Source organism: Homo sapiens, chromosome 21 (genome assembly GCF_000001405.40).
Source record: "Homo sapiens chromosome 21, GRCh38.p14 Primary Assembly".
Taxonomy (NCBI): domain Eukaryota; kingdom Metazoa; phylum Chordata; class Mammalia; order Primates; family Hominidae; genus Homo; species Homo sapiens.
Window position 1 is genome coordinate 14,393,968 of NC_000021.9, and position 11,434 is coordinate 14,405,401.

The window sequence follows — 11,434 nt, forward strand, 5'->3', positions numbered from 1 at the left end:
GTGCCTTCTGACATGCTGCTAGCCATTCAAAGGTCACACTACCTTGAAGTTGAAGATCAAGACAAATGATTAGACTCATAAAAGACAAATCACGTCTTTCTGGACAGGTGATTATTAATAATTAATTAGCATTTAAACATGTATTATTTAAGTTCTTTTTAAGTTATAAAGTCTTTGATTTGCTAAACAGTTTAAATAATGAATAAAACATAAAATAATAATAGTTACCATTTATTTAATTCCATAATAACTGATTTGTATGTATTATAAGCTTTCTTTCTGAAAGCAGAGTTTGGAGGTGGGTTCATAACTTTCTACAAACAGAAAACTGAGATTTAGAGGGTTAGCTAGGGAAGAATTTAAAATTAGATCCGTCTTATTAAAAAAACAATCTATGTTCTTGTCTTAGTCAGCTTGGGCCTCCATAACAAAATACAATGGACTGTTGGCTTCAAAAACTGAAACTTATTTTCTCACAGTTTTGGTGGCTGGTGGGTCAGAGATCAAGGTGTTGGCCAAATGTGTTTTTTTTTTTTTTTTTGAGGATTCTCTTCCTGGCTCACAAATGGCTGCTTTCCTTGTCATTGATGACTTGATACAGAGGGGGAGAGGGAGAGAGAGAGAGAGCAAAGTGTGTGTTTGTGTGTGTGTCTCTGTGTGTGTTTATATTAGAGAGAGAGAGAGACAGAGATCTTACACTTTTTATAAGGTCACAGTCTTGTGGTATTAGTACCTCATTTTTATGACCTCATTTAACCTTAATTACCTCCTAGAGCCTTTATCGCCAGATACAGTCACATTTCACATCGAAGGTTTGGGCTTCGACATATAAATTCTGTGGGATACAATTCAGTCCATAGCAATTCTGAAGCACTATAATATACTCTTTTAATTTTTAAATAAAGATGGAATTATTTAATATGTTATCTTTCAGTTGCCTTCTGGGTGTGATTTACATTGTGACTTATATATAATACTAACTCCCTGAAAAACTCTCTGACACATAATATCTGTTGAATTAAGGAGTGAATCCCATCCCTAAAAAGAACAAGTTTATGATAATGCAGATGTGTGTTCTTGTATGATTTTCATTTTTTTTTTTTTTGGTCTCCAAAGTATATATTATGCACTATTTCCAATGCAAATGATACCCTTTAAGTTTTCTTTCTAGCAACTCTAGAATTCGGAGAATAAGCCTAAACTCAGCTTTGGTTTCCTAGACTTAATTATGTCTTAAATATGAGACTTCAGTAGTCTAATTCTCTTTTCATCTTCATTGTTTCTCACTCCACCAAAACAATATTTAGCCTCAGCAAGATCTTTAGATTTTGGATATGACTTTAGAATATATAAATAAATACTATTCCAATGGCTAAAATTATTTTTCAAAGCTGGACTAGTACAGAATTACAATGGATTATAGAATATGGAAATGTATCAGCTTTCAGGTGGTTTTCTCTTTTCAACAAAGAAAGCCTTAATAAAAATGGTATTTTCAAAGAACTTACTTAGTTTTTCTGAACACAATGCTATGGCCTTACATTTTTGCCTGATATGATGAAATTCAATAACATCACAAAATAAAAGAGTTTTCTAGACTCACCTCCATACAGGTTGGAGACAAAGGAAAGAAGGGAAATTATGTCAAGATGTTCACGTCTTTTTGTCCTAATCAAATGATCTGATTCAAATGTTTTTACAGTAACATATCTGACATTTTGGTAATAGGTGTTGAAGTGCTTGCCTAAATTTAGATCAAATTAACTATACTATATACAGCAATATTCTTTTGATTCAAATTGGGAGGAAACCCACGAACTTGAAACAGAATAGGATCTGTTGCCTAGTACAGCAGAAAGAATTCTGAGTGAGCTATTAGAAAAGAGTTCCAGGGTCAGTTGTGTGACATTGATTACATGACTCTTACATGTAAACATTGATAACATGACACTGATAACATCTCTTTAGCAGATATGGCCTTGGATATTCCTTTCTTTCTTTGAAAATGTAATTTCATTCCTCCCTCCTTTCTCCCTCTTCCTTTTCCTGCCTTCCTTTCCTCCACAAATAGTTGTACAACTACCATTTCTTAGGCACTGTGAATACAGTAAGGAACCAGAACGATAGGATTCCTGAGCTCAGGGAGCTTATAGCCCAATCAGAGGAGCCCAGACCTTTAACAACTAGTTGCCAAAATAATGATGTGATTTTAAGTATGATAACTGCTTCAAAGAAAAGATTTACATTGGTGGAAAGGGGGCTTTTGTGTATGATTTTATGTTTTTGTGTATACACCTTTACTCTCATGTATTAAAGGGAAGTCCTTCCATCTTTTTTTTTTTTTCCTGTAAAGAGAGAGAGATTTAATTGGTAATGGGCCAAAATTTTAATAAAGAAAATAATACTTGTAATGCAGTCTACAGCTAATGTTAACCTTTTAAATCTATTTTTAGTAAAATTCGTTTTCTCTTTTCCTAAAAAAATTCTTTTGCCAGATTCTAGGGATAGGCATAAGCTTATTTCAGTGCCATCTACTTTAAGAATTTCAAATGTTAGCAATGACTTATTTTATTTACGAAGATGATGAGCTCAGAGGACTAGGTGAAATATATGAGGCCTAGGTTTCTCTTTTTTGTAAAGTGATTTTTTCCCTTGAATTTTAGGCCAGCTAAAAACATTTTCTTTATATAGCTCATTGTAAACAATGTAAACACAGCAGTGTGTAAAGTTAGAAAACAACTCCTTTCAAACAACCCAACTTCCCCATGTGGTGTTTTGACTTTTTTTTCCTGCATAGACATATATAACATAGCTATGCATTTTTATTAACAGAAATTTGTTAATATTGTATATATTCTATAATTTGCTCACCTCCCTTAACAATATGTCATGGATATCTTTCCATATAGTTGTACATAATCCTGTTTCAGTCTAATACCTACATAATTTCCCATTACACTAATGTACTGTAATTTGTTTAAACAATATCTCTTATTGGAGACTAGGGTTATTTCCAGTTTCTTAGTATTATTCTTATGTAATAAAATCCTTCTATGTCTGTCCTTCCTTTTTCTACCATTATTTCTGTGTATCACTTACTAGCACATAGGACAGAGAAGCTGTTTTGCACCCAGGGTACTATAAGAGCATGCTCCACTCCTAAATTATTCTAATTACTCTGTGGTTTGCTTCTGGGCCTGCTCACATTTTCAAACTCTGCTGTCCTTGAAGATCTTTTTTCTCTAGGGGTGATTCAGAAAATTGGTTCAACTTCTGCTCTGGACACTACCTTCTTTTCCTGTTGAATTACTGATTTCTTAACTCAATTTTGTTTTCATGCCCTTCTTATGTTTTATACATACAAAATTATAAATGTATAAATAATAAAAAGAATAAAACATAATATATAATATATATTTAAGTTGTGAAGCAAAATAATAAAATGAACACTAGTGAATCCCTCCTCCCATATTGAGAAGTCTGTCAACACAATTCTGAATACCACTGAGCCTACCAATGTGTTTCTTTTCTATCCTTTTCTATTCCTGCCTCCCTCTCAGAGGCGAATTTTATGTCTACCATTTTCTTTATTAAAAAAGTTTTATCATATATGATGCATTCCTAAACAATTCATTATTTACTTTTAGTTTTGAGTTATCTAAAAGGCCCCACACTGGCATCATACAGTTAGGGATTGCTCAGAAAAGCAGAAAGTATGTGAGTGATATAGACCAAGGGACTAGAATGTAGGCAGTTATGGAACTGATTAGCCAGTATATGTAGTCTTTTTGTTTGTTTGTTTTTGCCTGTCTCAGCTCACAGCCAGCTGTCCCTGAGTCTGGAGTTAAAGCTGGAGTAAAGGTGGAGAGACCAAGGAGACACACCTGTCTCTCATGACCTCCAATCTTGATGATGTAGGTAACTTGACAGAGAAGATGATTCTCTTCACCACAGAGCTGAGCCACACCTGGCCAGAATCAGGGAAGGTGAAGGAAGAGATCTGGAGGGATTTGGGGAAGCTGCAGGGCGGGCTGCTGTCCTCTGCCAAGATCAGTGACAACGTGTGTGAGCTGCAACTGCACATGAATGTTACCAACCTTCTGAGACTTAAAATTTTCACCTTCTAAATCTTAGACAAATTTCTTTTGTAGTAATGTTATTTCGAAATCACGCTGAGAAAGCACTTCTGGGCCATGTAATTCCAAATTAGTTATATTGACAAAGTGGCAAGGTATCCACACTTTATAGATTTCTGTGACTTTTTCTCTCAATATTTACATTGCAAGTTGTTTTTTGTAGCTATATGTCTTTAATTTTCATTAGTCTATTATAGTCCATTATGTGAAAAATCTCAAATGTATTTTTCCATTATCTTGTTTATGGACATTTCAATTGCTTTTAGTGTTTTGCTATTATGAAGAATGCTACTGTGGATATTCTTCTATATTTCTCGTGATGTAATTGTGCAAGCATTTCTCTACGGCTTAGAAATAGGAGAACTGATGTCCAACTTTACAAAATGGTACCAAATTGTTTTCCAAAGTTCTTTTTATGAAATTTATACTTCCACCAATGCCATGTAGACTTTTTATTGATACATAATAATTGTAAATGTTTATGGAGTACTTGTGATATTTTGATGCGTGCAATGTTTGATGATCAAACCAGGGTTTCTAGGCTATCCATCACCTCAACCATTTATCATTTCTTTATGTTCGGAACATTTCAAATCTTCCCCTCTAGCTATTTTGAAATACACATTAGATTACTATTAATTGTAGTCAGTCAACTGTGCTATCAAACACTAGAATTTATTCCTTCTATCCCATGTTTGTACCCATTAACCAACCTCTCTTCATCCCCATTCCCTTCCCAGCCTCTAGTAACCATCATTCTACTCTCTACCTCCATAAGAGGTAGCTCCCACAGATGAGTGCTAACAGTGATATGTGTCTTTCTGTGCCTGGTTTATTTCACATAACATAACGACCTCCAGTTCCATTGATGTTGCTGCAAATAGGATTTTATTTTTTATGGCTGAATAGTATTCCATTCATCCTGTACAATTGGGAAACTATTTGCAAATTATTCATTGAACAATGTACTAATATCCAGAATATGTAAGTAACTCAAACAGCTCAATGACAAAAAAACAAATAATCCCATCAAAAAGTGGGCAAAGGATCTTAATAGACATTTCTTAAAAGAAGACATACAAATGACAACAGGTATATGAAAAAATACTCAACATCACTAATCATCAGGGAAATGCAAATAAAAGACAATGAGATATCATCTCACCTCTGGTAAAATGGCCGTTATTAGAAAGACAAAAAATGACAAGTGCTGGTGAAGATGAGGAGAAGGTGGAACTTTTATACACTGTTGGTGGAAATATAAATTAGTATAACCATTATGGAAAACAGTATGAAAGATTCTCAAAAAACTAAAAAAAGAACTATTGTATGCTCCAGCAATTCCACTAGTGGGTACTTATCCAGCAGACAGGAAATCAGTCATCAAAAGAATACCTGCACCCCCATGTTTTATATTGGCACTATTCACAATAGCCACATAGACTTTTAATTGAGCTACATACTTGCCAACACTTAGCATTTATCATGCTGGTCAATATTTTCTAGTCTGATGAAAGTAAAATGACATCTGTTTGTGATATTTATTTGCATTTTTCTAATTGTTAATGAAATTAAATAATTTTTCATAAGTTTACTCTCCATTTTTTATTTTCTATAAATGCTTGTTCATGTAAATTTTCTCATTTTTCTAATTTTTTTCTTTCCAATTTTAGGAATTCTTTATATATTTTGGTTACTAATGTTTTACAAGTTATACATGTTGCAAATGTCTCTATGGCTTATTTTTAAATATCTTTGTAATATCTTTAAATGACATAAGTTTTTAATTATATAATGTGGTCAATTTTATGATTAGTACCTTTTGTATCATTTAAAATCTCCTAACCTACCCTGAGTCATTAATACATTCTTCTATTTTATCTTTTTTAACTTTCATATTTGGGCCTTTAATCAACCTGGAACTGATTTGTGCATGTAGTGTGCTGTAAGGATCCTATTTTTCCCCCATATTTATAACTATGAGCCAACACTATTAGTGAATAGTCTAATTTCTGCAATGTTTTGCATGGCTATCTCTATCACATATTAAATTTTAATACTCACAAGTCTGTTTTTGAGCTCTCTATTTTGTTTTACTGGCCAATTGATCTAATACTGTTTTAATTATTATATTTTTATAATAGTTTATGCTGTTAATCAGGACAAAGATCTTCACTTTTTCTCTCTTCTTCATGAGTGTGTTGACTATTTTTCTTCCTTTTATTATTTATGTCAGTTTTAGAAAAAAATTTTTAAGATGATTCAACTTGATTCTGAGCAACCAACCTGGCTTTATATTAAGCCTGTCGTAGGCCCCTGGCTACATCTGTGATTTTCGAGTTTATCTTCGCTGTTTCATTACTGGCCCAGGATTTGGAGTGATGATCTTGGCATTTGCTCCAAAGGCATCACTGTCTCTTGGAGATTCTTTTGTTTTTTCTTTTTGAGTTTTAGCAAACTTATTTTATTTTTTGTCCCTTACAGGTTTGCCTGAAATTCTCAGTAGCCCAGCATGCAATAAAAACAATGTTTCATGGAAGCTCTTTTTTTTTCCCTAGTGAGAGGGAGCTTTGCATATGTAATATACAATTCTAGAAGTTCTCCAGATTTCTTATGTTGTAAACTTAAAACTCTGAGCCAAAAATATCATATTTTGAATTAACTGTTGACCTCAGAAATGACAATTTTTACTTGTGAGTTAGGGTAGGTGAAAGTGACTGAACACCTTAACTTCTGTCATTTCCTCTCTACTGTACATTATTGCAGAACTGGAAAGAACTTTACAGCTAAATAGTGAACAGCCCTTAACTTTCTTTCTCTCTTATTTAGAAGCTATAAACCAGAGATGATTTGTTTTCCAGATAAGGATATACTAATCAATAGTAGTGAAAAGCCATGCCAAAATGAGAGAGGCAGCCTAGTAAAATCTCTATGTCAGTTATTTATGTCAAGAGCATTTAAAAAGTAGGCCAGAATGTAGAGTAGCTTGAATTATATCCTTCAAACAAAGAAGTAATTAAAACAAACAAATATAAAACAAAAACCTAGCAGGAGGATTATCATGTTGTTAACTATTATTCAATGTCAGGCTTCATAATGACTCTAGGATACTGAGAATGAATTTTGAAATTATTAATTGAAACTCTGCCATTTGAATTTCTAGCAAGATCTTTCTATCAATACTTATCATTTTCACCATAGTAGTCCACTAACATTTTGGCATGCAATCGTTTGGATGTAGTTTGAAGTGGCCTTCAATGTTGACATTTAGCTTCTTAAGAATGAAACAGGGACAGGTGTCCTCACCAGATAGGCCAGGTGGGATCATGCAAAAAGCAGAATCTTTGGAGCCAGACAGACCTGCCTTCACATGCCAATACACAATCTGAGAGAACATTCTCCAGGTCTTGTGAGCCTCAGGCAACTCAGCTACAAAAATTGGGATCACAATCCCTTCTTTGCAGGGCTGTTGCAAGAATGACATAAGAGAAAACCTTTTTTATGCTTAGCAACTAATAGGCACTCATTAATAGTAGCATAGTTATCATTATAACTCTTATCATTATTAGTGTCTACTTTAGATTCTTGTGTAATTCAGGACAAATTCTTCACCTTTTCCTAAGCAGGATTAGATAATAAAAAGAGACAATAACCATTCATTTGCCTTGAGCAATATTTTTCCTTTGATCAGGGAGTGGAGCAAAAGAGGTAGATGGGTAGGTATGGGGTCTCATTACTTTGTTGGTTATCCATAGAAATTAAATGTATTGCTTAGCTTTCTTTCTCATTTATTGTTGGCGTAGACACCAAGTATATAATTTAATTATCATATTGCATGTATGAAATTATATATGAACCATTTTCCTTGTAGCTGAAGTTTGAATCCGAATATTATTAGCAAAGTTACCCAAGTGGAGCCAATCCATATTAGACCACTTACGCTAAAGGCTGCTGCCAAACTAATCTTTTTTAAATAGTGGATTTATCAAATCTCTCTCTTTGAATTTATAAAAACTCATCTTTTTAATGTCCTGATGCATCAAATCTAAACTCTTCTGCCAGGCTTTCAAGAATTTCCCTACACTGATCCCGTTCTTTTTAGCGAAATATTTTTTGCTATTCCCTCAGTCCAATCTCTGCCTTTAGTGAGATATATTCTCTTCCCAGAAACCAGTTGTCACCAGGCTTTGCTTCTTTCCTATTGCTTGTGTTCTTCCCTTTTCCTGAAATAACTTTCGCTGAGATTTCCATGTACTCAGGTCCAGCCTGGGATTCACATGCCCTTTCAGTACTAATTTCCACCATGAACATTTCCCTAACTAGTTTCTAGATATCCCAACTGTCATGTAGAAACTTTTACATGACTTTGGGTCTTCATGTTATGTAGTTCATAACTAAGTGCTGACTTTTCTCATACATTATTATTTATGTGAAATAAAGTGGTCTATACAATTAGAATGTGGGTGCCTTGAAAATAGATTATCTTACAGTTCTGTATCTCTTATAATTCTAAGCACAGTATTGAGCACAGAGTGTTAATAACTACCTGTTAATTACTGAGCTAACTGATTTGGTAAACACCTTTTACATTTGCCCCCATTGTGAATTTAGCCATGTACAATATTTAACTTACTAAGTTAATTTACACTACATGCCATTTTAGATTCTGATTGTGATTATTGGTCCCTGGAATATTTTTAAAATCTTTGTTTTCAAAATATGAAATTGGAGGGTGCTAAATAAAACCCAAATTATATTTTTCTTGCCAAAAGTATATTATCCATAATGTCTTAATTAACTTGAATTATTTAAGGAAAAGGGCTGTATTCTCACTAAGTCAAGATTCTCTTAGGGATAGGAGACCCAACTTATCCTACATAATCACCCGATTAGTCTTCACGTTTGATCCCTCTTAAGTACTATTCTGGTTGCTATGGACACACCCCATCAATCTTGATAATTTTATAACATTAAGAGAAAACAAACCCATATTTATTAGTGGCTTATTATAAGATAAACTTTAAATGTTTCTAGATAATATTTGCATTTCTTTTCTAAAACAAATATCCTAATCTGGCATCTTAGATATATCTGTTTTATAATTTTTTTCATCTGTTTTTTTTTTTTATTGCTTTTCTTTTCATTTCTTTTTTTGAGACAGGAGCTGGCTCTATCACCCAGGCTGGAGTGCAGTGGCGCGATCTGGGCTCACTGCAGCCTTTGCCTCCTGGGCTTAAGTAATCCTCCCATCTCATCCTCTCAACAGGCGCAGCTAAGTTTTTCTTTTCTTTCTTTTTTTTTTTTTTTTTGTATTTTTTTTGTAGAGATGGGGTTTCACCATGTTGCGCAGGCTGATCTCAAACTCCTGGGCTCAAGTGATCTGCCTGCCTCAGCCTCCCAGAGTGCTAGGATTACAGACATGAGCTACCACACCCAGCCTCATCTTTTTGATTACCGTATTATTCTGTACTTTCAGAAAACAAAACTGTTTCTTTTTTCTGGTTAAGGAGTTGTTTGATAGACTTTAGTCTGACTTTTAGTGGCTTATTACACAAAGCAGATTTGATTTAATATATATTAAAATGACATTATCAAAGTTGTCTTGCTGGCAGAAGTTTTTCTCCAGATTCAGTGTGATAACTACACTCCGTTGATTTAATTATTATCATTTTGGTATGAATCTCCTGTCATGTTTATGCTGTGAATTTTCAAGAGATTAGAGACTGTCTGTGGGAGTAGGAGGTAAAAAGTGAATGAGCAAATGTATTTTGAGTGTTTGAACAGTGAAATATACAGTGACCAGCAGGTGTCTCTGTTACACAATGCAGATGAGATTCTCAAAGCTTTTCTAATATTAATCCTACCTTCTCCATCTAACTGAATTCACTTTTCAATTTTAACATTTACATTTGCTTTCTTCTTCAACAACATATAAAGAAACTCTTACCTCTCTCATATCTTTAATCAGGGCTCTGTTTTTATTTTCTTAAAATGCTGTATCCAAGATTATTTCTTAGTGTCTAACTTCTACCCTCTTTTTAAATGTTTATTTTAATTTTTTCTTTAAAATTTTTTTAAAAAAATATAATAGAGACAGGCTTTCACCATGTTGCCCAGGTTGGTCTCAAACTCCTGGACTCAAGGGATTCACCTGCCTCATCCTTCCAAAGTTCTGACATTATAGGTGTGAGCCACTATTCCCAGCCTCTACCCACTTTGTCTAAGTTTATTTTGCACCATTTTATAGAATGAGGGCTGGCTTAAGATCTTTATTTAGAAGCCCTAAGCACTGAAAAGTTTGCAATATCATATCTCCTCATATGTTAATTAAATAAAAAATAGTAAATTATAAAGAAATTGTAAGGAAGTTTGACAAAGTTTAAGATAACTAAAAGTTAAATAACAACTACAGCAGTGTTTTCTTAATATATCAAATGTATTTTTCTTAGAAGTTTGGGGAAAATATCTGATAATCCTATTTTTAGGGAATTTCTAAATTTAGTTTGCCTTTTGTATAACCTATGACTGTATAAAATGAAAAGCCTAGACAGAACCAAGAATTATGCAAAATACCCCTGCCAAGAATTTAAGTCACAGACCAGGCATGTATGAATGGATGAAGGGGGACAAGAGACAGCCAAAGGAAAGCAGAGGAGTGAAAGAGTACATCTAGACACTGCCAGTGGGCATATAATTTCTACTTTCTTTCTAATAAAAATGAAATCTAACACTTACTCACAGTTTATTATGTGCTAAACTTTGTATATACTCTCTTATTTTTCCCTCACAATGGCCCTGCTAAATTGTTGCTGTGATTAATCCCGTAGTAAAATGAATAAACTGAGGCTGAGAGATTAATTCCAAAAGGTTATACAGTCAGAAATCTGCTAACATTTTAAATCCCTATATTGTATTTTGAGAAGGTAGTTCGACACAATATTTGCTTTTCAACTAAAATTTTGCATATGTTTGGCTTAGCATTTGTAAGATTTTTACTAAAGAAATAATAGTGGATAAGTGCAAAAGAGATCTTTGGAGTTTTTATTATAGACTTTCATTACATTGAAATTCCTGATTAATGCTATGGAACCAGACTGACTAACTCTTACAAAAATGTATTTGTTAAGAGGCTCCCAGGAAGTCTCCAGAAGAATGGGAAACAGATTCAGTGGGACTCAAGTTATCAAGGAGGAAGAGGCAAGAAGCACAGTTACAGGCTTGTAGCCAGCAGAGCTGGTTAGGATGCCCTCAGAACTCCATCCCTGTTGGGATGAACAACCTCTAACATTTCCCCCCCG